Source organism: Homo sapiens, chromosome 8, assembly GCF_000001405.40.
Source record: "Homo sapiens chromosome 8, GRCh38.p14 Primary Assembly".
Lineage (NCBI taxonomy): Eukaryota > Metazoa > Chordata > Mammalia > Primates > Hominidae > Homo > Homo sapiens.
In genome coordinates, this window is record NC_000008.11 from 53,113,605 (window position 1) to 53,141,402 (window position 27,798).

The window sequence follows — 27,798 nt, forward strand, 5'->3', positions numbered from 1 at the left end:
GCTGTGCCAGGAGAGAACACGGCAGCTCTGCACCCCTCTCCCTCCCATAGCTGGTCCTATGCATCTCTTCCATTTGGCTGGTTCTGAGTTGTATTTTTTGAATAATAAATCAGTAATAACAAGTGCACTGTTTTCCTGAGTTCTGTGAGCCATTCTAGCAAATTATTGAACCTAGGGAGGGTGTCATGGGATTGATAGCCAAGATTTTACCCAATTTATAATTAGTTGGTCAGAAATAGGAGAGGTCCAGAACTAGCTATTGGTATCTGAAGCAGGGGCAGCCTTGCAGGGCCTTTAACTTGTGGGATCTGATGTTAACTCCAGGTAGACTGTGTCAGAACTGGATTGAATTGTAGGACACCAGCTGGTGTCTGTAGAATCGGTGAATTGATTGGTGTAAGAAAAACCCCACACATTGGGTGTGAGAGGTGTGGTGATGAAAAACAGTCATGGGGTGGAGCGGGGAATCTGCACTTTAAGATCTCCCTTTGTGAGCCCCCTGAGAACCCCAGATTTATGGAACAAGCATACAAAATCAATCTGAGTTTGTTTAAATCCTGCCTTGTCTTTTGCTATGTGTCCCTGGACTCATCACTTACATGCCCCATGACCAGAATGTGCAGAGAGACTTTGCACAGCTACATAAAATAGAACCAGGTCCTTATTTATTAATGATTTAGGGCTTCATATTTTGTCATTCCTTTGGATCTGCAAACACACTTTTCTCCTGGAAGTTCCTGGATGAATGCTGGAAGCCTATTTAATTGATAATGTGGCATTGCATGGCCTAGTGCTGAAACTTGGGGCTGCTGAAGACACAGCTGACCCTCTGAATGCTCCCAAGTGCCAGCAGGGCTCTGCCCACGACTGTGCTGGCTGCCTCCACTGCACAGGGCATCCAGCCCCCAGCCCACTGCCCACACAGACCCTCCTAGCGTGGACCAGCTCTGCCTGGGGAACAGAAAGTGCTCTCTTTCTTTCCTCACCCCAAACAGTGGGTTACCAAATATTTGATCTTTGCAATTTGATATGTTAGAAATAGTATCTCAGTATAGATTTCACATGCATTCATCTTACAGTCAACAAAATTGAGCATTTTTTCATAGGTTGAAGAGCTATTTTTGCTTCCTTGCCCATTACTATTGTAAACAAAAAAGTGACTGAGGCAGGTCTCAATTGATTTGAGGTTTATTTAGTCAAGGTTGAGGAGGAACCCAGGAAAAACACAAACCACAGGAGCATCCGTGTTCTCTGCTTTCTCCAAAGATGGTTTGGGGAACTTCAGTATTTAAAGAGGAAAGAGCAAGCAGGAGGGTAAATCTTTTTTTTTTTTTTGAGACGGAGTGTTGCTCTGTCGCCCAGGCTGGAGTGCAATGGCGTGATCTCAACTCACTGCAACCTCTGCCTCCTGGGTTCAAGCGATTCTCCTGCCTCAGCCTCCCGAATAGCTGGGATTACAGGTGCCCACCACCATGCCTGGCTAATTTTTTGTATTTTTAGTAGAGACGGGGTTTCACCATGTTAGCCAGGATGGACTCGATCTCCTGACCTCGTGATCCGCCTGCCTCAGCCTCCCAAAGTGCTGGGATTACAGGCATGAGCCACCGCCCCCGGCCAGCAATTCTTGAAAAGGAGGGAGGGTAGGCAATGAGGCAGGTAGTTACATTCTTGTGAGGCTCTGATTAGTGCTTAGTGAATCTACATTTTACAAGTGAAAGGAAGGGGTAGAGGAAAAAGTCAGTTATGTGTTCGTCTTGAGGTAGGTACAGGAATGATTTCTGTTCTTGCCCTTCTCCTGTACCTGAGAAAATAAGCTGGTAATTGGCATTGTCAGGGTGAGATTTAACAGAACTCTCTTTTAGAGCTAATTTGTAGGAGGTCTAGTGCTGAAACCTGGGGGTGCTGAAGACACTGCTGACCCTCTGAATGCTCCCAGGTGCCAGCAGGGCTCTGCCCATGACTGTGCCTGCTGCCCCCACTGCACAGGACATCCAGCCCCCAGCCCACTGTCCACCCAGAAACAGCTCTGCCTGGGAAAGGAAAAGTGCTTTCTTCCTTTCCTCACCCAAACAGTGGGTTATATATCCTGAAAGAGGTAGAGCCCACTAGGGAAAAATGCAACCTTCTTTCCTTGCAGGAATCTGGCTTATGGATAAGGCTATGACACAGGGTTGTGAAATTACAGCTGTCTCCTTGGGAGCAAAAGGAAGGCAGCTTTGCATGACTCAGTTCCCACCTTTGGCACAGTGAGTTTGGGGTACTGAGAGTCTATCTTTTTCACACTATCCGTTACTTTTGCCTATTTTCTGTTGGCTTATTGATCTCTATTGATTTTTAGGAACACTACATGGAGCTGTTTAAAATATAGTTCTTTGAGAGACAAGCTTAAAATATTTTCCACAGTTTCACATTTCTCATTCCAACAATTTTGTGTTTCTCAAGTCTTCTCAATCTTCTTGTGGGGTGTGTGTGTGTGTGTGTGTTTGTGTGTGTGTGTGTGTGTTGCTTTGTTTTTCTCCTTAGAATTGTTTTCTTGTTTTCTGGATCTGTCTTGTTTTCTGTTTTGTTTTGTTTGCAGTTTCTGGAGTTGTCATATTTTAGAAGAGTTATTTTCTTCTGTGGGTTATCAAGCTCAGGTCTGGTGCTGGGAGGAGCTGAATTTCACTGGTTCTGAAAGGCAAAGGAGCCTTTTGCTGTTCATCTGCAGCTTTGTGTTTCTCAGCAATCCTTCAGCCTGGGAATGATTTAGCTCACCCGTGCTCCTCCCTCCTGATCCTTTGAAGGTCAGGTGGATTTAGCATAATCACACTGGTCAACACCAAACTTCTTCCTGCCGGGGTCCTGGGAGCATGAAGCATCAAGCATTTTCTGGGATTTACTAGCATCACACCTTTGTCCTGGGCTCCTTGCTAAGTCTCTCAGCAGAGCTTGAGGCCTTCAAGTCAGTAGCCACCTGCCTAGGAGAGGCTGGTAGCTGGTAGCCAGAAGTTGAGATGGAGGGATCCGGAGTCAGGCTCCATGATAAATTCCTAGATTAATCAAGCAGAATAACAGCTTTATATATTAAATCTTTCTTTCCAAGAACATAGTCTTTCATTTGTTTAAATCTTCACTTTTTTTCTGTTGGGCACATTTAGAGTTTTCTCCTATAGTTCTTGCACATCTATTGTTAATGTCTAAGTATTTTATTTATTCCTCTGTATCTCTAAGCAAGTCGACCCCTAAGTATTTTATTATCTTTGTAGATATTGTAAGAATTATTTGCTTCTAGTATGTTGTTTTATTATTCCTTCAATTGTTATTTGTAAAGGGCTTTCAGTTATTTGAGGAGATTTCAAGGTACATTATCAATTTATTTGCAAATGATATGCAGATTTGAGTAATATCAAATGACAGTAGATATGCTTGTCTTGATTCTGGTGTTAATGGGACTGCTTCCAGTTTTTTCATTGTGCACAATGGTTAATAGGTAGGTATTATCAACTTGTAAGTGTTCTTAATATTCATGTGTTAAGATTTTTTTTTTATTATACTTTAAGTTTTAGGGTACGTGTGCACATTGTGCAGGTTAGTTACATATGTATACGTGTGCCATGCTGGTGCGCTGCACCCACTAACTCGTCATCTAGCATTAGGTATATCTCCCAATGCTATCCCTCTCCCCTCCCCCTACCCCACAACAGTACCCAGAGTGTGATATTCCCCTTCCTGTGTCCATGTGATCTCATTGTTCAATTCCCACCTATGAGTGAGAATATGCATGTGTTAAGATTTTTTTATTAAAATGGATGTTGAATTTTTCAAAAATATTTAACATGAAACTCTACAAATCATTTTTCTTTTTAATTTAATATGAATCTATGATAAATCTTATTCATACGTTTAAAAATGGAAATATCTTGATATCCTACAAATAAAGCCTACTTATTCTTGGTATGTTATTCTAAAAATATGTTTTAGGATTCTGTTTTTTGTGTTTCATTTGGGATTTTTTGTCTGTAATTTTATGTGTGTGTGTGTTTTCTTATTGGATGTACAGTTTATTATTTTCCTCATTTCATGAGGAATTTAAAGAATATACTTTTAAATATTCTGAAACAATTTAAATAGCATTAGAATAATTAGTTTTCTAAAGATTTTGGTAGCATCTCACTCTGAACCTGTATCTGTTATGACATAGAAATGATATTTCAGGGGGGTGTGTGTGTGTGTGTGTGTGTGTGTGTGGTAGGGAGAAGGGTTGGTTAGATTAATGACAATCATCTTGTCTCTTGTAAGTATCTAATCATGCAATTTATATTTTCCTGTTATCATTTCTTTCTTTGTGCTGTTCAGAATATATTCTGTGCTGCTAAATATTCCTTTACTTCTATTATTCATCTTATGATCTTTAAACAATATAGATGGACTGCAATTTTTTTTAAATGAAATTAGCATATTTTCATCACCTCCCACGTTTCCTTCCTCTACTTCTTCAAAATATTGATTTGGGACATTTATATTTACCTGATAGTCTCTAATCCTTGCATTTGTTTTAGTCTGGTGTATTCAATTAATTCGATTCAGGGCTTATTTTTCCATTTGTAGGTGGGCTGATATTCATGCTATGCTCTTTCAAGATGAATGCATGATGGAAATATTATCTATCTCTTTTTAATATTATCAAATGTTTTGTCTCTTGCTTTTACACTTGAATGAGAGTTCAGACGGGTATAGAAATAGGGGAATCTTGTCTTCTTTCTCAAACACTTTGCTCAGCTCTGCTCATGTTCCACTGAATGCTTCTGTGGAGACTATTTTTTCCCTTTTGAGCATCTTAATGTTTTTGTCTTGTTGCCCCAAAATCTCTTTCTTATTTTTGATGTCCAGAAACATTACCACAATATGTCTTGCTGTAGAATTCTTGGTGTAATTTTTCCTGGAATCAAATATTTTCTTTAAATCTGCATATTCATGTCTGTTTATTTCTTGAAAGTTTTATTGCTTTATAAACTTTTGATAACTTTCTTAAGTTTTATTTACATTGGACTTATTTTAAATGAGGATGTGGGGGAATTCATTACATTGGACTTATTTTGGATGAGGATGTGGGGGGATTCAATTATGCATGTTTTGAGTCTTATTTGCTCCTCTTCTTTCTATTTATTTTTCTGTATTTAGTTACTTATTTCTGTTCTATTTGGTTCACTTTAATCATCTTCATCTTCTTTGTTTTTTGTGATGTTTATACTCTAGTGTTCACAGCTTTCAATTTTGCCTTCATTTCTATGATCCACTTTTGCTTCAAATTTTTCCCCTTTATGCTTCTAATTTTTCTGCCAACTCTTATTTCATTGTCTTTTGTAGTTTTGTAATTTCTTTTCTGACTTTTTACATCTTGTCTTTTTGATATCATTTTTTATAAAAGGGAATTATTTCAGATTTTAAAAAATTCATTGCAAAAAGCCGATTGAATCCTTATCTGCTTCAATCACCATATTAAGCTTTTTTTTTTTTTTCTGCTGAGTGCTCCCTGTCATTCCTATGTTCTAGGTTCTTTTCTCTTTTCTTTATCCTCAAAAATTTTATAGGTCTTGTGGTGGCCTTTTTTTGAGAAATCATATTTGAATAAGTCATGCTCAAAAGGGAGAAAACAGCCTCCACAGCAGCATGAAACAGAACAAGAGAAGAGAGCGGAGTAAAGTGCTCGAGAAACGAGACAAGGTTCCCAGACTATATACCCATTTAAACTTTCATTCAAATATGAAAGCAAACACTGTAGAAACCGCGAAATCATGGGCAAGCTAATCACCAAATACATGTAAAAGATGGAGGTCAGATGCTTGTTCCAAGCTAGCATTGATTTTTTTATGATGCAAATATAGATGTTCTCTTTTAATCTTTCTTTACTTCTGCATAGCCAATTAAGATAAACAGCCACATAGTGTCCAGAGTGAACATCTCTCTCCTCTCACATCAGGCCCAACGGGTAGATGTTTCCTGCAAATACAACTTGACTATGGGATTTTTCATGCAGCTGAGTCTTTCTCTACTTCTTGGAGCCATAAGTGTGTCCAAAAGAATATCCTATTCTCATTTTTGCATCCACGAGACTTTGGATTCTCACCTCGCATATAGCCCTACTCTAGGGTGTCAACATTGCCGGTTTGTTCTGGGATCTATGACACACTTGTGCTATTGTGAAATCTTGTCATACTTCTAAACCATCTTCACACTTTTTCCATTATTTTTCAGGGATTCAAACATTTTCTAGTTTTTCAAAGGAAGTTTCTTCTTTTATTTTTGTGGAATAACACAACTCATGAGCATGCCTTAAGCAACATTGGAGTATATAATTAATTCTTCGGTACTATCAAATTTTAAAATCTATGTGTAGAAAATAAGGATAAATTTCATTCCTATAAGAGACAGGAAAACTTATAATTAAGTTCCACAGGGGACAGCTAATTAAAATGTTATCTTGACACTAGCTGTTTCACATTCTGTCACCGGTCTCTCTTCTCAGCAAAAGGTACATTTTTAAGTAAGTTCACTTTTCTCAAAGGCCTCATTAAGTGAGCTGATTTCTGGACACAAAGATAAGCCCAAATATTTGGTTGTGATGTTCTGTGTCCTGACACCAATAAATTTAACCTAAATTCCCAGAGATGTTGCCAAGGTAATTTCCTATTACCATCCTTATGAGAATAGTTGATGGCTCCCAGGAAAATGAGATGATTTTGAAATATGAATCTTTTTATTGATATACTGAAACTTTATCATTGGGAAAACACATTCAGGGACTTATAAATACAACTACTAATAAGTCTAATCTTTGTTTTGATGTTTGATGAGAGGTTGATGGAAAGAAAATGGATGTGGAATAAGGATATCCAACTAAAGTTGTATTGAATGTTAAGAAGGACAATCTCTTCACCACAAAATGTTATACTCTTATTTAAGAGGTAATAAACATTACTTATTAAATCTTGCTCTAAAAGTTAACTACTACCTTTAACCAGTGTGGAAATAATTCTTGACTTTCTTGGCCATTAACCTTTGAGACTTAAACCTTATTATAATATGCACAACTTGATAAATAATTTTATAATTCATTTATTTTCAAGCAAAAGGGGCACTGCTGAAAGAAAATTTATCTAATTCATAAATTATGCAGATAAAATGCAAATAGACATAGTATGGTCCCATCAGTTGACTTACTGCTGAACACTCTGACATCTGAAAAATAAATGGCTAGAAAATGTACAGGTAGGACATACAGAAAGAGCAAATTGGTAGAGGGCTGTGCCCTGGCACTCCATCTAAGTGCTTCTTTATTGAACCACGGCCCTCTACAGGTAAGGGGTGTTATGCTATTATCCGGTGTTTACAGAGTCCATCTGAACATTGTTTTTTTAATAGGTGGTTTCATCACTTGTTTGCTTGTTTTTTGGTTTTTGCTTTGTCTGAATATATTTAAGCCATGTGAAATGCAAATTTGGCTAATTAATTAGCTTCTCTGGTCCAAATAGCTAAGTAGTAACTTCAGATCTCAACCATTTCAATGTAGTCAATAAATCTTTCCTTTTTGGGCAAAAAGTAGCATATATCTGTATCTATCTCTATCTCTGTATCTGTATGTTTAGGGTCTTGAAGGGCCAATTTGACTGGATTTATAAGTTGAGATAATTCACATAAGTTCTCAGTATTCAGGCCCTTAATCTGTATTTAAGTTTCTATTGTATGGTTTGCTCCTGAAGAAGTTCTGGGTCATGGTATGCTGGCTTTGCTCCACTGCTGTTGTGTTCTTCACATGTGTTTTGGGCCTTGTGCATTTTCTCACTCTATATTTAGATAACAAATTCTAGGAATTAAGGTAGGTGTTGAGCAAATTCCGTTACTCTTTCTTTCATTCTTTCATTCAACAAATCCTTCTTTAAAGCTGGGGCCTGCAGTAGGACCTGGTGATCCATCAGGAAGCCAGAATGGAGAAGGGCCTGCTTTTTGTCATTCTGCTGTGAAGCATTTACTGCAGGGGGTCTGATCATTTTGGTCCTTAAGGGAATGAAGGTAATGAGGCAAATTTTATGATATATACAGGAATCACTCCCATTCTCCTGATTTTTGACTAAGTTCTTTTGAAGATATTCTGGCTTACAAAGTTGCTGTTGCTCAGAATTAAATACCTTTTAAGATAAAACCTGTCATGAATCCCACCCATTTTTTGCTCCTAGGAAACACCTAAGGAGGATATCTAACAGCTTAGCCAAATGTTTTTCTGAAAGTATATTCTTGAATAAAAAATAAACACAATTTTTTTTCTTAGAAGGAAGGAGGAAAAATATAATTTCCAGAAAATGGATTGAAGTAGAGATAAAAATTATGAAGAAAAGTGGCCTTTTAAAAAAATCAAAGTAAGAAAAAGCAGATTTTAGATCATCTACATGGTTAAATGGGTAAAGTATCCTCTTTTGGAATGTATGACATATTTAATCTTCAGGTAGTTACAATTTAACTTATTTGCTTTTTATTAACTTGTTTGTTTAATTGAAATAGTAGAATGATATGGTAAAAGTTTCAAACACTGTACAAACGTCTATGTCAACATGCTTTTCTCCCTCCCACATCAGACCAGCAACTTCTCAGGCTCCTTCCTCAGATGTGGACAATGTCTTCAGCTTTTTGTATTTATTTTTGAAGGCTCTCTAGGTATACACATGTCCAGATCCACCTTTTTACATTCATTTGGGAGAATACAAATACATACTAATCTTCACCTTGCTTTTTCCACTTGACAATATTTCTTGCAGATTATGTCATATAATGTAAAGATACAGACTGATCAAATTTTTTATAGCTCTTTTATTTTTTTCAAATGCAATATCAAATAATATTTGCTTCCCACTCCAACTGAAAGGTAGGTCTGCAATGAGCTAAGTTTCCCTGAGCCCTACCAATGGCCTGTTCATTCAGCAGAGGATGGGACAGGGTCTTCTTGTCTTATGGCTAAGCAACTAAGGAACCACTAGGTGACAGAGTTGTTGGGGCTTTTCATTACTATCTTCAGAGAGCCACCATGGGTCTGGGTGACATCCAATCAAAACTTTCTTTTCCTTGTTTAGAAGACAAAGAGGCAATTTTTTTTTTCTAATATGTGTATTGAGACGACACTATCAAAAAGAGTAAGCAGATAGAATTTCTCAACAGAGCAAGGAATTAGCAAATGTTTCATAGTCTTTGGTAGTACAGAAGTACAGAATAATTTTTGAAAGTGGTGCAGAGACCTCTTTGTATAGCCAATGGTCATACTCTTTTAGTCTCCATACTCCCAAGAGAAGAGAGAACCCTTTCTGATGGTGCCCAGACTTTCAGACTCCTTTCGAGGAATTCCCAAGAGCCTTTGAGAGCAAAGTTAAATTGCTGGATCCAAGTGTATTTGGAATTTAGTTTTGAAAGATACTTATAAATTTCTCTCCTAAAATGTTGTAGTGATTTACATTCCAACTAAAAAGTTTCTCTGCTCTGGGGATCAGAGTGTATATTTTTAAAGTGTTTTCATTTTTTTTTCAGCTTTATTGAGGTATGAATGAAATACAAAAGCCTGTATATGTTTAATGTATACACTTAGTTGAGTTTGGACATCTGTATTCACCTGTGACACCATTACTACAATCAAAGTAATGAATATATCCATCACCTCTAAAAGTTTTCTTTTTTTAACTTTTTCATTTTTTTTTCTGTGGTAAGCATACTCAATATGAGATCTTCCCTTTTAACCAATGTTTTAGTGCACTGCATGGTAATGTTAACTATAGGCACTATGTTGTAAAGCAAATCTCTGTAACTTATTCACCTTGATAACTGTAACTTTATTATTTACTTTTTAATGATATAGATGCAGTTTTAATATGGAAAGATGACTGCGATATAAGTAAACATACATTTTAATGTCTGCCATTATCTGGTTTTATGTCTTTTAAAATTTTCTTTTAACTGACAAAAATTTTATATATATATATATATATATACACACACATATATATTTATTATGTACAATGTCTTGTGAAATATGTATACACTATGGAATGGCTAAATTGAACTAATTAACATATGCATTATCTCACATATTTGTCATCTTTTTGTGGTGAGAGCACTCAAAATCTACTGTCTTAGCAGTTTTCAAGAATGCAATACTGTGTTTATAACTGGAACTTTATATACATTGAACAGCAGCTCCCCATTTCCCCTTCCCCATCCTTGGTGACCACCATGCTATTTTCTGCTATAGGTTTGACTACTGCAGGCCCCTCATATAACGGGAAATCATGCCATATTTGTTCTTCTCTGACTGACTTATTTCACTTAGCATAATGTCTTCCAGGTCTGTTTAGTTTTTATTTTTATTTTTTAGATTTTTTACTTTTGATTATTGAGATACATAATAGCTGTACATATTCAGATCTATTGGCATTGCTGCAAATGGTAGGATTTATTTCTTTTCTAAGGCTGAATAATATTTCATTGTATGTATATATCACACTTTATCCATTCATCTGTTAATAGATATTTGGATTATTTCCATGTCTTGGCTATTGTGAATAACAATGCATGAACATTTATGCCAACCTTATAGTTAAATTGATAACTCAGAGTTGTTTAATTTGTCTTTCCTAAATGGCCTCTTCAAATGCTTTTGGGCCATTTGTATTTATTTTTTTGTCTAAACTCTTGCCTACTTTTTAAATTGAATTATTGATTTTTTTCTTCATCATTTGTAAGTTCTATGTATTAAAAAATATGTCTTTGGATATATTGCAAACATTTTTTCTTTTTTTCTTTTTGAGACAGGGTCTTGCTCTACTGCCCAGGCTGGAGTGCAGTGACACAATCATGGCTCACTGGAGCCTCAACCTCTCAGGCTCAATTAATCCTCCTACCTCAGCTTCCTGAGTAGGTGGGATTACAGGCATGTGCCACCACATCCTGCTAAATTTTTTTTTTTTTTTTGTAGGGAAGGGTCTTGCTATGTTGCCAGGCTGGTGTTGAACTCCTGGGCTTAAGCAATCTTCCTGTCTTGGTCTCCCAAAGTGCTGAGATTATAGGCATGAGCCACTGTGCCCAGCTTGCACAGTTTTTCTGTTGATTGTTTTACTTTTTATGCTAAAATTTCTGTACTCAAAATTATCAATTGCTTTATATATGGTTTCTGAATTTTATGCTTGGCATAGAAGGGTCTTCCTGTCTCCAAGTTCATGAAAATAATTTTGCCTCATTATCTCACAGGTTTTCTTCAGTTTTACTTTTTTCTTTTTTTCTTTTTTTTTTTTTTTGAGACGGAGTCTTGCTCTGTCACCCAGGCTGGAGTGCAGTGGCGCAATCTCAGCTCACTGCAAGCTCCGCCTCCCACTTCAAGTCATTCTCCAGCCTCAGCCTCCCCAGTAGCTGGGACTACAGGCACCCGCCACCACCTAGGCTAATTTTTTTTTGTATTTTTAGTAGAGACAGAGTTTCATCTGTTAGCCAGGATGGTCTCAATCTCCTGACCTCATGATCCGGCCGCCTCGGCCTCCCAAAGTGCTGGGATTACAGGCTTGAGCCACCACGCCCGGCTTCACATATCTTTAATTTAAATCATTGATTGATTTGGAATTGATTTTGGTGGATTTTTCCTTTAGCATTATACCCTAAATTCCCGCATGGTTTTAGTACATTTCTAGTCTCTGTATTTATTCCATTGATCTATTTATTAATACATAAGAATCAGAATGGTTTGTGTGTTAGAGAGAATAACGTCCCCAGTCTCCAGAACCTGTGGATCTGTTAGCTGCACATAGATGATTCGCATAAGGGTTCTGACACAAGGAGAATGCCCTGGAGGACCCAAGTGAGCCCAATGTCATCAAGGGCAGGAGAGTCAGAGTCAGGCAAGGAGATGAGGAAGCAACAGGCAGAGAGGAGGGAGCAAAAGGAGCCTCACTACTGGTTCTGGGATGGAGGAAGGGCCGGGAGCCGAGGAATGCAGGCAGCCTCTGGAAGCTGGAAGAGGAAGAAATGGATTCTCCCATGAGCCTTTAGAAGGAGCCAGCGCTGCTGACCCATGTTGGGCTTCTGACCTCTAGAGCTGTAAGAGAATACACTTGTGTTGTTTAAAGCCACTTAGTTTGTGGTAATTTGTTACAGCAGCCATAGGAAATATATTTCACTCTAACTTGAAAATAAAAAGCTGTTACACTTGTTGGCCTTTTCCCCCTTGTAGCACTTCTATTTCAAGATTTTCCTACCTCTTTTTATATGTCTGTTTTTCCAAATAAACTTTCCACATAGCTTGTTCTGTTTCAAAACTATTCTGCCACCATTTTTATTGCCATTACATTAAATTTTTCAATTCGATTAGGAAAAATTGATGTTTTTTACAAAATCACGTATCAAAGTCTTAACCAACTTTTGGATAGGTTAGTCAGTGACAGGTCATTCAGGACTTGGAAGTTATCAGGGAAAATAGTCAGGCACCCGCATTGTCCTAAGGTGAAAACTGATCCCTTGACAAAGCAGAGGCAGTCACCACGGAAAGGATTAGAGAATGTTGCCTGAGACAGGAGGCCTGACAGAGACTCCTGAATGACCTAGTGCTGAATCCTCTTTGCTTGTGGAAATAATCTACCCAGATTTCAGACAGGATTGGTAAGTTGGAGCCTCGGGCAAGCCTGTTCCATGGCGTAAAGTAGAGCTAGCTACGAAAAGGAAACCCAATTCAGTCCTGATCCCGCTTTCCTCCATGGGACCCCTTCACTAAGGCATAGGGAAGATACAGCTCTTGGGGCCCTCTACACCTTTATTAGGGAGAATCCTCAAAGAATGTTAGCAAACTTAATTTTAAAAGGAATACCATTAGCGCTCTTTGTGAAGTTTATTTAAAATAGGGTTGCATGATTTTAGTGTATTAAGATGGTATATTTTACTTAAAACATGTTTTGATCACTGAATCAAAGTGTATAATACATATACAAGCCAAAAGCAGTGCTTGCTGGAGGTAAGGTGCTGTGTCCTTCACTGCAATTGTCTCTCTTACATTACAACGTTTTAAAGACTGAAGAGAGAGCTTTGGAAGAACAAGAAAATAGAGGGCAAGTAAAGAAGTATTCATGTATGAAACGTGTGTTTAGTCATTGAGAAAGCACAAATTAGATATCAGGTGTTAAACATGCATAATCCAGATTTGTTCTTTTTGCTTCATGTTGCTTCAGCTACACAGGGTCTTTTTTGGTTCCATATGAATTTTAGGATTGTTTTTTCTAGTTCTTTGAAGAATGATGATGGTACTTTGATGGGAATTGCTTTGAATCTATAGATTGCTTTTGGCAGTATGGTCATTTTTACAATATTGATTCTTTCCATCCATGAGCATGAGATGTGTTTTCATTTGTTCGTGTCATCTATGATTCCTTTCAGCAGTGTTTTGTAGTTTTCCTCATAGACATCTTTCACCTCCTTGGTTAAGTATATTCCCAGGTATTTTATTTTATTTTATTTTACTTTATTATTTTGCAGCTGTTGTAAAAGGAATTGAATTCTTGATTTGATTCTCAGCTTGGTGGTTGTTGGTATATAGCCATTATTCTAAATCTCCATAAATGAGTCATTATATCACACTGAGGCCCATGAATTTTGTCATAAAGTCTTTAATAACATTGTTTATATAGTTAGGAGCCTACCAAAAATATTTGCTCGGAAACTTGCCACTCTAGGAGCAGTGCTGTATATGACCATGAGAGAGTTACTTAACTAGAAATTCCTCAATTTTCTTATCTCCAGAATGGACTGAAAAATAATGCCATGATAGGTTGATTACAAAAAAAAAATTGCTGAAATCTCCACCCCTTCCTGTATCCATACCTTTTGCCATGTGAATTTGAAACTTCTCCTGTCAAGAGGTGAAGTCTTTCCCTACCTTCCCACGCCTCCTTGAGCTCCTTGAATATAAGCTAGACTTACGACTTGCATTGGCCAATGTGATGTGAAGGATGAGAGTATGTCAGTTCTGAGACTAGGCTTCAAGAAGCCTTGTACACTTTGCTTTCTCAGTTGGACCCTCACCAATATTATGAAGCAAGTCCGAGAGAGCCTGCTGGAACATGAGAGACCATTGACTATAGTAAAATACTCATCTTCTAGCTGAGCCACCAGCTAACATCAGACGCAGAGTAAGCGTACCCAAGATAAACCAAGCCTGGGCCAGGTCAGAGACCCATCCAGCCAACTACAGACTTATGAGAAGTGAAAAATATTTATTTTTTAAGCCACTGCATTTGGCAGGTTTTTTTTGTTTTTTGTTTGTTGTTTTTTTGTTTTTTTGTTTTTTTTTGAGACGGAGTCTTGCTCTGTCACCCAGGCTGGAGTGCAGCAGCACGATCTCGGCTCACCGCAACTTCCACTTCCAGGATTCAAGTGAGTCTCCTGCCTCAGCCTCCCGAGTAGCTGAGACTACAGGTGCATGCCACCATGCCTGGCTAATTCTTTGTATTTTTGGTAGAGATGGGGTTTCACCATGTTGGCCAGGCTGGTGGATTTAGTAGATTGAACCCCTGACCTCGAGTGATCCGCCCACCTCAGCCTCACAAAGTGCTAGGATTACAGGCATGAGTCACTGTGCCGGGCCTTCATTTGGCAGTTTAAGCCACTGTGTTATTACACAGCATTAGCTAACGGATACAAGAGGTTGTGAATATTAGACTAAGTTAATTAAATTAAAAGAATTGAATGAATGAAAACACATAAGGCACTTAGAATGATGCCTCCTACAAAATAAATGCATTTTTCTTATTGTCATTCTGATTATTATCAACAATTATTTCAACAACTCTGTAACTTACCAAGATCTATGAGAACAGGGATTTCAGCAGAATTTCTCGCATATCTGTGAGTTTGTATGTGGGCGTTCACTGTGCTTGGGCCAGGGCAGCAGATGTTTGCCGTAAAGTTTTATTAATAACCTAACTTTCTCAGTTTTTCCATGCCAGCTATGCCACTTGGGTTGGGTTGTTATAACTTCTCTGCCTGGTGTGCGGAGATTGAGTATCAAGGCAGGAATATTTTAGTAGTCTGTGAACACAGGTCCTGTCAGCATTTTGTGCCTAAGGCTGAATTGTACTACATAGAGAAACCACAACACTTTAAAACTGTGTTACCTTTTTGTGTTACATAACATAGAGGTTTTAGGAGTTGATATCTCTGAATTTGATAGAATTCAGTCATTCTACAAAATGATCAAAACTTGGGCCTTGTGGTAATATCACTTCTCTTATGTAAAACTGTGCTGATATCCACAAGAGTATAAGAAATTAAAAACTGGAGGGGAAGGTGAGGAGAGGGTATACATTCCTGCTCAGACTAAAGCTTTCCGGACACTGGAGGTCCTAGAATGCCAGATAGAATGAAGAGGCTGTACACACTGAAACTTCAAAAGGCCTATGAAACTCTTGGGCTTTCAACCAATATAATGTATTTTGTGTTAAACATCATTTGTACTGCCTGAGAACACAGTTGTTTTTAAATGGGTGTGTTGAAAATATTTTCCTACATAAAAGTTTCTTTAAAGTAGGGCACAGTAGTTAGAAAACTTGTTCTTACTTAATTCTATGCTATAATTTTCTACAGATTCATGATCTTGGGTAATGTTAGGTATCTCTAATACATAACACAGGAAGCAAGTGACCCAATTTTTAAAATATTGCACATTCTAGTTGGCAAATATTATTAGAACCATACTGCCAAGGATTGGCATAGCTGGTTCATGATTACAGCTTTGGCTTGGGGAAACACAGAGAAGAGAAGAAGCTAGCAACTTCAGAACAATCAGAACATGTACCCTTTAATCAAGTATTATAAAAATTCTTGAAATAAAGTCATAAGGGAAGGTTGCAGAAAAACTAAAGTATTTGCTTTCATTTACTAGAGATTTTAACAGAATGGCGTTTGAGGAGATGCAAGAATGTCACCAAGATTTCAACTGAAGTGGTAAAGGAAACCTATCTCTAGATGAATAAGGAGAACAGCTGGTTGGATTTGGCAGGCTGAGACATCAAAGGCTGCAAGACAGGTGGCTGCAGGGGTGTCAGCTGAGATGCCCAGCTTGAAAGGTAAGAGACTCTTGGGAAAATTAAGGGGCCACATATATTATATTTTTCTTGTTCATCTTTTCTGGTCAGGCTTTTTTTAAATTTAATTTTATTTTAAGTTCAGTTTTTTTTTGTTTATTTAACTATTTATTGATTTTTTTTATTTCAATAGCTTCTGGAGTATGAATCATTTTTAGTTACATGAATAAATTGTGTAGGTGAAGTCTGAGATCTTAGTGCACCCATCACCTGACTAGTGTGCATACTACCCAATATGTAGTTTTTTATTTCTCACCCCTTATACCCTCCTGTTTCTGAGTCTCCAAAGTCCATTATACCACTCTGTATACCTTTGTGTACCCATAGCTTAGCTCCCACTTATAAGTGAGAACATATGATATTTGGTTTTCCATTCTTGAGTTACTTCACTTAGAATAATGGCCTTCAGCTCCATCCAAGTTGCTGCAAAAGACATTATTTTGTTATTTTTATGGCAGATTAGTATTCCATAATGTGTATATAACACAGTTTTTTAATTCCCTCATTGGTTGATGGGCACTTAGGTTGGTCCTATATCTTTGCAATTGTGAATTGTGCTGCAATAAATATGTGCATACAAGTGTCTGTTTGATATAATGACTTCTTTTCCTTTGGGAAGAGACCTAGTACTACTACTAGGTCTTGTTGGATCAAATGGTAGATCTACTTTTAGTTCTTTAAGGAATCTCCATACTGTTTCTCCATAGTGGTTATACTAATTTACATTCCCACCAGCAGTGTAAAAGCATTCCACTTTCACTGCATCCATGCCAACATCTATTGTTTTTTGACCCTTTAATAGTGGCCATTGTTGCAGGAGTTAGGTGATATCTCACTATGTAATTTGCATTTCTCTGATGATTAATGATGTTGAGCATTTTTTCTTATGTTTATTTGTATATCCTCCTTTGAGAAATGTCTATTCATGTCATTTGTTCACTTTTTGATGGGATCATTTGTGCTTTTTTCTTGCTGATTTGTTTTAGAATCTCGATATTATTTCTTTGATGGATACATAGTTTGCAAATATTTTCTCCCATTCTGTGGGTAGTCTGTTTACTCTGCTGATTATTTCTTTTGCTGTGCAGAAGCTTTTTGCTTAATTAGGTCCAATTTAATTTAGTTTTGGTTTTATTGCATTTGCTTTTGGCATCTTAGTCATAAGTTATTGCCTAGACCAATGTGCAGAAGAGTTTTTCCCAGGTTCTTTCTAGAATCTGTGTAGTTTCAGGTCTTAGATTTAAGTCTTTGATCCATCTTGAGTTGATTTTTGCAAAAGGTGAGAGATAGGAGCCCAATTTCATTGTTCTACATTTGGCTAGCCTGTTTTCCCAGCACTGTTTATTAAGTAGGTCATCCTTTCTTAGATTTAGGCTTAAGAGCAAGATTTTAACTCTTAGTTTTCTTTCCAGAGCTGTAACAAATTACATCTCATATTATAAAGGAACATACTCTATGCAAAAAGATAACTTTGTAAACTTCCCTGAAAATATTTTGTTAAATAAAAGGGACCCAAAGTAGTCAATGCCATCAACTCCAAATTCTATCTAAATGAACTGTAGTAGAGACATAGAGACAATTGGGAAGATATTTACCGCAAATATATTAAGTCCAGGGGCTGCAGCACTGAGACGCTGGGAATGGTAGCAGGAGAGGTCCCAAACTTCAGTACTGCTCCAGGGTATGTCATTGGCTCTCAGCCCTACGCCAAACGTCCTGTGCTCTTGTCTTGTTTCCAAGACTCTTCCCTAGCCCTACGTTTGATTCTAATTCTGTAAACGACACAATATTCTTCCAGTACATTCTGAAGTTAGCCAGAATCCATTGCTGGGTCTTGAAAACAAAAATACTGACTTTTACAACCTTCCAATCAGTCTTTAATTTCTCTGTTTTTCTTTCATCTACAAATTTCTAGATATATTCTTTTTTAAAATAAAAATAGTTAAGAATGGTCATTCAGGTAGTTACATAGGCTTTTGTGGGTTTTATAGATACATAACCATTATTAGTACAGGATAAGAAATCAACATACAAAAATGAGTAGCATTATATATGCCAACAGCAAGCAATCTGAAAAAGAAATCAAGGAAGAATTGCTATAAAAAATTAAAATACCTAGCAATAAATTTAACCAAGGAGGTGAAAGAGCTTTACAATGAAAACTATAAAATATTACAAAAAGAACTTGAAGAAGACACAAATAAATAGGAAGATATTCTGTGTTCATAAATTAGAAGAATTAATATTGTTAAAATACCCATACTATAAGCAATTTACAGCTTCAATGCAATTCTTATCAAACCGCCAATGACATTCTTCACAGCAATAGAAAAAATAATCCTAAAATTTATATGGGACCACAAAAGACCATGAATAGCCAAAGCAATCTTAAGCAAAAGGAACAACCCTGGAAGCATTACATTACCTGACTTCAAAATACATTACAAAGCAACAGTAACCCAAACAACATGATACTGGCATAGAAACAGACACATGCACGAATGGAACAGAATAGAGAATCCAGAAGTAAATCCATGAATTTACAGCCAGGTCATTTTTGGCAGAAGTGCCAAGAACACACAATGGGGGAAGGACAGTCTCTTCAACAAATGGTTCTAGGAAAACTGGATATCCACGTACAGAAGAACGAATAGACCCCTATCTCTCACCACTTACAAAAATCAACTCAAAATGGATTAAGTGCTTAATTGTAAAACCTGAAACCATGAAACTACTAGAAGAAAACATGGGGGAAACACTTCATGACATTGGTCTGGGCAAGGATTTTTTAATGATAAGGACCCAAAGCACAGGCAACAAAAGCAAATTGGGATTACATCAAACTAAAAAGCTTCTGCACAGTGAAAGAAAGCAAAGGAAACAATCAACAGAGTGAAGAGACAACCTATAGAATGGGAGAAAATATTTGCAAACTATGCATCTCACAGGACATTAATATCCAGAATATATAAGGAACTTAATTCAATAGCAAAATAATAATAATTTGATTAAAGAATAGTCAAAAGACCTGAATAGACATTTCTCAAAAGAAAACATACAAATGGCCAACATGTGTATGAAAACAATGCTCAACATTGCTAATCATCAGGAAAATTCAAATAAAAATGACAATGAGACATCATCTCACTCCAGTTAGAATAACTATTATCAAAAAGACAAAAATAAATGCTGGATGTAGAGAAAGGAGAACTCACACACTATATTTAAATTAATACAGCCATTATGGAAAACAATCTGAAGTTTTCTCAGAAAACTAAAATTAAAACTATCAAATTATTCATCAATCTTCCTTATGGGTAAATATTCAAAGGAAAGAAAATCAGTATGTTGAAGAGATATCAGCAGCACTCCCATGTTTATTGCAGCACTATTCACAATAGCCAAGATATGAAATCAACAAAAGCGTCCATCAATGGAGGAATGAATGAAGAAAACCTAATATATTTACACAATGGAATACTATTTTGCTCTATAAGAGAATAAAATCCAGTCATTTTTGACCACATAGATAAGCCCAGAGGACAGTATGTTAGGTAAAATAACTCATGCTCTGAAAGATAAACACCCCCATGATTTCACTCATATGTGGAATCTAAAAAAACATTATGTCATAGAAGTAGAGAGTAAAATAGTGGTTACCAGAGGCTGGGAAAAGGAGAAGAAGAGGGGGTTGGAGAGATGTTGGTCAATGATTACAAAGTTACAGTAAAATAGGAGGAGAAATGAGTTCTAGTGTTCCGTTGCAGAGTAGGGTGACTATAGTTAACAACAAAGTGTATATTTCAAAATAACTAGAAGAGAAAATTTTGGATGCCCTCACCACTAAGAAATGATAATATTTGAGGTGATGAATATGCTAATTACCCTAATTTGATCATTACATAATGTATACATATGTCAAAATATCACACTGTACCCCATAGATATGTACAAGTGTTATATGTCAATTAAAAATATAATAAAACTGAAAAAGACATGAAAAATTTGTACATTTTCTATGAGAAGATGTGTTGCACATCCCAAAGGGACTTTTTAAAAACTTTTCCAAATAATAGTTATATATTAGTTAGAAGTTTCTAAATCATGTTAGGAGGCAGATTTTTTTCATACAAAGAAAGTTAATTGTGCAAAAATAGTTTCTTTCACAGTTAAGTTTCCTAACTATCAAGCTTCCCAGCTAAGCTTTCTTCTTAAAATGTCTGTTATTATCCCAGTTAAGGAACTATATATAGGAGCTCAAATTTTCATCAGATTGATGAAATGTCAGCTCCTTCAGAGAATGGATTTTCAGTAATCCATCTGTTAAATGGTTGGATTTTTTTAAGTATGAGATTTCACAATAAAAGAGAAGAGGAAAATATTTAGATCCTTCAGCCATATTATTTTGACATAATGGCATATTTACTCAATAGAAGTTCTTCACAAATAATTATAGTTTCCATCAAGGCCATTTCTTATGCTCAACTGTAATTACTTTGGATTTGCTGTAGTTCACATCCCATTCTGTAGCTTACTTACGAAGAAAATTGTGATTAAAATTTAGAATTTTCAAAATTGTCCTTGAAACTCTTTGCCTCTTCCTAAGAGAAGAAATTTAAATCTCTTTAAAACTGATTCAACTAGAAGCCTAACATGAATGCAAAGTTGGTGAGAGAGCATATCAAAGTCACATAGCTAATCAGTGGCAAAATCAGGACTTTAATATAGGTCTTTTACTCCAAGGCTGTGTTCTACTTACAGCAAAATATTGTATTTTTTTAAGTATCACTATTTTAGAACACTTTTTAAAAACAAACTGAAACACTCTTTTGCAGATATATGTAAATGTCTCAATTGTATTCTTTTTCTACTTTAAACTGCACTTAGTAATTTTAGTTCCTTCAATGTTCACATATCAAGCAGCTTATGTTAGTGGATTTTAAGGTTGAATTTTAAAATATTAATGTTTAAACCAATTAAAGATGCAATAATTCAACTTGTTCTAACACTTTTTCAATAAGATTTGGGTTTCTTAAGAGCATTCTAACAGTAATAACTGATTCTTATTGTCTTTAATTTATTGAGTAAATATTATTGAGAACCAACCATGGGCGAGGAACTGTTCTGGGAACGTGGGATGCCTCAGGTAACTAAAAAACCCCACAATCTCTGCTCTCATCAAACTAATGTTTTTAAAAATTATGAACAGACAATAAACAAAATGGAAATCCTTTGGAAAGTTTGAATAGAAAAGCAACATAACCCAGCTTATGTTCTAAAAAGATAGCCATAAGTGCTGTATGGAAATCATCCTAAGAGGGTGGGAGGAGATGAGGGTAGAAACATGAACACTACTTGGAAACATATTACAATAGTCTACTGAGAGATGCTGGTGGTGTGGAAAAGGTGATAGCCATAAAGATCATAAGCAGGTTAGACTCAGGAAATATTTTGAGGGTAGATCCAAGAGGATTTCCTGGCAGATAGAATGAGATGAAGGCAGGATTTAAAAATGCATCCAAGGATTTGGAGTAAACAACAGGAAGGATGAGCTGCTTTCAACAGAGATGGGAAAGAATTTGAGAAGAGCAAATGTGGGGAGAAATCTTTGTGTACAAAAGACTAAAAAGTGATTAAGAGCTCAGATGGGACCAATGACATATGTCTGTCTCCATGTATTTCATAAATGAGGCCACATGCTTTTTGGGGGTGTCTCTTTGCAGTGAGTAGAAACGAGAATGATGAGTTGTCTTGAAATGCATTCCTGGGGTTGGCCAGGCACGGTGTCTCATGCCTGTAATCCCAGTGCATTGAGAGGCTGAGGTGGGCAGATCATCTGAGGTTGGGAGTTTGAGACAAGCCTGACCAACATGGAGAAACCCCGTCTCTACTAAAAATACAAAAGTGGCCAGGCGTGGTGGCACATGCCTGTAATCCCAGCTACTCAGGAAGGCTGAAGCAGGAGAATTGCTTGAACCTGGGAGGTAGAGTTGCAGTGAGTAAAGATCGTGCCACTGCACTCCAGCCTGGTCAACAAGAGTGAAACTTGGTCTCTAAAAAAGAAAGAAAAAGAAAGAAAAGAAAGAAAGAAAGGAAGAAAGAAAGAAGGAAAGAAAGAAAGAAAGAAAGAGAAAGAAAGAAAGAAAGAAAGAAAAAGAAAGAAAGAAAGAAAAGAAAGAAAGAAAGGGAAAGAAATGAATACCTAGGGTCTAGTAAGGAGGGTCAAAGTCCTAGGAGCTAGAAGACATTTGGCTTTCAGACTTTTATTCAGTACCATCTCTTATTTACTCAATTGCACATTCATGAGGGCAACATAAACAAAGCACAGTCTTTTTTCTCAAGGAAGGGAAATATAGAAAAGCAAACAAATAAAAATTTCTCTGTTTTATTAATTGGACCTTATGATGTATAACAGTTTTTTCTTCCAAAACTTTATTTATATAAAGTTTTTATATACTTAAGAAATACATAAATTACCTACAAATTTCTTAATGTTTATAATTAAAATGTTTTTGTAATCTTTAAAATTTCAATTCAAACATGTTACGAATTTGGTGGATCTCCCCTAAAACAAACAACTGTGCCCAGAGTTTGTTCCTTCTGGTGGATTTGTGGTCTCATTGACTTCAGGAATGAAGCTGCAGACCTTTGCAGTGAGTGTTACAGCTCTTAAAGGTGGTGCAGACCCAAAGAGTGAGCAGCAGCAAGATTTATTGTGAAGAGCGAAACAACAAACTTCCAAAGCATGGAAGGGGACCTGAGCGGGTTGCCACTGCTGGCTGGGCCAGCTTTTATTCCCTTATTTGTCCACACCCACATCCTGCTGATTGGTCCACTTTACAGAGTGCTGATTGGTCCATTTTACAGAGTGCTGATTGGTCTATTTTACAAACCTCTAGCTAGCCACAGAGCGCCAATTAGTGTGTTTTTACAGAGCACTGATTCATGCATTTTACAAACCTCTAGCTAGCCACAGAGCGCCAATTAGTGTGTTTTTACAGAGCACTGATTCATGCATTTTACAAACCTCTAGCTAGCCACAGAGTGCTGATTGGTACATTTTACAATCCTAGCTACAGAGTGCTGATTGGTGCATTTTGCAATCCTCTTGTAAGACAGAAAAGTTCTCCAAGTCCACCTGACCCAGAAGTCCAGCTGGCTTCATCTCAAATCCCCCCTCTAAACAGGACACCCCAGCTGCTGTTGGGAATTGGGCGATGACCACTCTAGCTACTTCCTACTGGATAGGGGTGAAGAAGGGGCTCTGCAGTGTAGTGTCCTCCAGAGGGGAACTTTCTAGGCCAGTCAAAGAGCCAGTGGGTCGATCCAGGGGTCCTCAGCAGAAGTTGTTAGTTGAGCTCATTTGGAGTTCCATTTGTAAGGCCATCTGTAGCTTGATGGCCTTGATCCTGGAGGAAACAAATTTGACAAGGAGTTTAAAAATACAAGGTCCAAAGGTGAGTAATAGCAAGATGGCTGTCATGGGACCTAGAAAGGGGTGAAGCCATGCCGCCCAACTCCAGAGGTTGGTATAAGAGTTTGAAAGGCATTGTCTGATTTCAGAAGCCTTTTCCTGTAAATGCTGGGTGGAGTCTTATACTATCCCTGACTGGTTAGTGTAAAAGCAACATTCTTCCCCTAAGAAGGTGCAGAGTCCTCTTTTCTCAGTAGTGAGGAGGTCTAGGCCTCGGCATTTTTGGAGAGTCACTGCTGCCAGAGTCTATTTGGGATTGAAGAGTAAGGATAGATTTTGTTATTTCTTGCTAACTGTCTAAGAAATCCTTTGAGAGTGTGCAGTAGTAGGATAATGAAGTAGATAAACCTGCTATTCTGGTTCCTGTAGCAGTGGTATTCCTAACTCTATAAGTAGGGGTATTAGTTGAATGGCCCTGCGCTGATGGACTTGATCTTTAAGGGGCACTGATAGGGTCTGATTTCCTGGGGCAATGTTAATGTTGGGACTTAGGAAGACTAAGGTGTGGGTGCCTGTCCAGTTGGTGGGGAGGCAGATATAGGTTGAAGCTCCACATAAGAAGAATATGCCTTGGCTGGGTAGACAGAAAGGTACCCTGGCTTCTCTTTCTTTCTCTCTCTTTGTCTCTCTGTCTCTTCCTCTGTCTCTCTTTCCTCTCTGTCTCTGACTTTCTGTGTCTTTCTCTCTTTCTGACTCCTTCTTTATCTGTCTCTTCCTCTCTCTCTCTTTCTCTTTGACTTTCTGTCTTTCCCTTCCCTCTCTCTTTCTGTCTGACTCCCACTTTGTCTCTCTGTCATTAACCACCCTGAGGGGAGAAAACTATGCCCCATGAAAGTCCCCATTCTGTTTCAGTCGGGGAATACTGGGGCTTAATCTCTTGGAGGGGATTGTTTCATACCAAGGATCCTTCCATAAGTATTTCTAATGAGAGGTTCCACCTGGCAGCAATTTTGGCCTCAGCATCTGCCTGATGGTTTCCTTCTGCCTTTTCTCCTTCACCTTTTTGATGGCTTTGGCAGTGTAAGATTGCCACCTCCTTGGGTTTTTGCACTGCATGCAATAAGTCCATGATTTCCTTGTGGTATTTAATGGGGGTTCCCCCAGAGGTTAGGAACTCCCTTTCTTTCCTTATTGCAGCATGGGCATGTAGGATTAGATAAGCATACTTGCTATCTGTATACACATTTATTCTTTTTCCCTTTCCCAGTTCTAAGTCTCAGGTAAGTGCCATTAGTTCTGCTAACTGGGCACTGGTCCCTGTGGGAAAAGGCTTACTTTCAAGTGCTGTTACATCATTAACTATGGTGTGGCATAACCTGCCCTTTGTATCCCATTCTCCACAAATGAACTTCCATCGGTATACAGATTAAGGTCAGGATTAGCTAAGGGGACTTATAAGAGATCTTCTCAGGTGGCATAAGTCTGGACTATAACTTGTTGGAAATCATATTCAATTGGTTCCCCATCCTCTGGGAGAAAAGTGGCAGGGATGAGGGCTGCACACATGTGTATTTGCAGCACCAGTCCCTCAAGCAGCAGCATCTAAACAGGCAGTTGTCTGATAGCCATAAACTTCCTTTGGCACCTAGTATGCCATTTACATCATGAGTAGTCCGGACGGTGAGATCCTTTCTTTGTATTATTTTGATAGCCTCTGATACTAAGACAGCCACCGCCACAACCACCCATAAACAGTGAAGCCAGGTTTTGCTATATCAATTTCCTTACTTAGGTATGCCACTGGTTGTGGGGTTGTCCCACAAGTCTGAGTAAGGACTCCAAGAGCTATTCGTGCTCTCTCTGTGACGTATAAAGAGAAGTTTTGTCCTGTGGGAAGGCTTAAGCCTGGAGCTTGTACTAGGGCCTATTTTAAGGTTTTGAAGGCTGTTTCTGCCTCTGGTTCCCATTCTATTAGATGAGTATTTGCCCTCTGGGTCTCCTTGATTAGAATATAGAGAGGCCTGGCTATCTCACTGTATCTAGTGATCCATAGTTGGCAAAAGCCTGTGATTCCAAGGAACCCCTGCAACAGTTTTAATGTCTTAGGGTGAGGATAAGCCAGCACAGGCTGTATTTGTTCCTTGCTGAGGGTCTTGGTTCCTCTGGCTAAAATTAGGCCTAGATATTTGACTTGTTGTAGGCAGAGTTGGGCCTTCAATTTAGATGCCTTGTATCCTTGATTAGCTAGAAAGTTTAAGAGATCTAGAGTAGCCTGCTGGCATGAGGCATCCAAACTGGTAGCCAAAAGTAAATCATCCACATACTGAAGGACCAGAGTACCTCGACTTGAGAAGTGGTCTAGATCTTGGGCCAGTGCCTGACCAAACAGATGAGGGCTATCCCTAAACCCTTGGGGCAAGACCATCCATGTAAATTGGGACGTGTGGTCTGTGGAATCCTCAAAGGCAAAGAGAAACTGGGAGTCAGAGTGCAGGGGAATACAGAAGAAGGCATCCTTGAGGTCCAGAACAGTGAACCATTCTGCTTCCTCTTGTATTTGAGAGAGCAGGGTATAGGGGTTGGGTACAATTGGATATAGAGGAATTACTGCCTCATTGATGAGTCTAAGATCTTGCACTAGTCTCCACTGACCATTCGATTTTTGTACTCCTAGAATCGGGGTGTTGCAGGGACTGCTGCATTTTCTTACTAAGCCTTGAACTTTTAAATATCTAACTATATCCTGCAATCCTTTATGAGCTTAGGCCTTAAGGGATATTCCCTTTGATAAGGAAAACTGGTGGGGTCTTTTAGCTTGATTTGGACTGGGTGGGCATTTTTTGCCCTTCCAAATTGTCCTTCCAATGCCCAGACTTCAGGGTTGATTTCCTCCTCAAGCAGGGGACAACAAATGGGTAACTTTTTCCCCATATTCATGTAGATAATAACTCCAGCTTTGGCTAATATGTCCATCCCTATAAGGGTGTGGGACTTTCAGACAAAACAAGAAAGGCATGTGAAAAGAGCAAAGTCTCTGAATTACAACTGAGAAGGTGGGAGAAATACCTGGTTACAGGCTGTCCCGGGATTCCTCGGATGGTAATGGACCTTGAGGACAGCTGTCCAGGATGGGAGGTTAACACTGAGAAAGCTGTGCCAGTGTCCAGAAGGAAGTCAATTTCCTGGTCCTCAATAGTTACACATACCCGGGGCTCAGTGAGGTGATGACATGAGCTGGTTCTTGCCCCAGGCACCCTCAGTCCTGTTGTTGGATCATCTGGTTGGGGGCTTCTGCCTCAGAGAACCTTTGTCCTCTGGGGCAGTGTGCCTTCCAGTGATTGCCTTGGCATAGAGGACATGGATGAGGGGGTGGCTTGTTTCTCATTGGACAATCTTTTTTAAAGTGTCCTTGTAAACCACACTGATAACAAGCCCTACTGGGTGATTGACCTGCTCCATTTTCTGTCCTCTCTGAACCACCGAAGTTTGTTTCTCTAATTGTCATGACAAAGGCTGCAGCCTTTCTCTGATCTCGCTTTTCCCTTTGGGCCTGTTCTTCTTGGTCCCTATTATAGAACACCGAGGTTGCCAGATTTAATAACACCTCCAGATTTTGATCAGGGCCCAGGGCTTGCTTTTGGAGCTTTCTCCTGATATCTGCAGCTGATTGGGTAATAAACTTATCTTTGAGGATCAATTGACCCTTGATGGAGCCGGGTGACAGGGGAGTATATTTTCTTAAGGCCTCCTATAGCCACTTGAGGAAGGCAGAAGGATTTTCTTCCTTTCCCTGAGTTATGGTGGACATCACTGAATAATTCATGGGCTTTTTCCTATTTCTCCTTAGCCCTTCTAGAACACAGGTTAGCAGATGTTTATGACTCCGGTCCCTATGATTTTAGTCTAGGTCCCAGTGGGGATCCATACTGGGGAAGGGCCGGCTGACTGGTAGGGAATTTGTCCCTTTCTTTGGCTGTCATTCTATCATTTACTTGACTAAGCTAGCTGCAGCTAAAACCACATTTTCATTAAATGCCAGGGTTTGGTCTAAAAATAGCATGACATCTGTCCAACTGAGGTTGAAGGTTTGCCCTAGACCCTGTAGGACATCTATGTACCTATCAGGATGATCTGAAAACTTCCCCAAGTCTACTTTGATCTGCTTTAAATCAGAGAGGGAGAAGGGGACATGTACCCGGGTTGGGCCAAATTCCCCTCCCCCTAAGCTTGAAGGGGACATAACCAATAGCC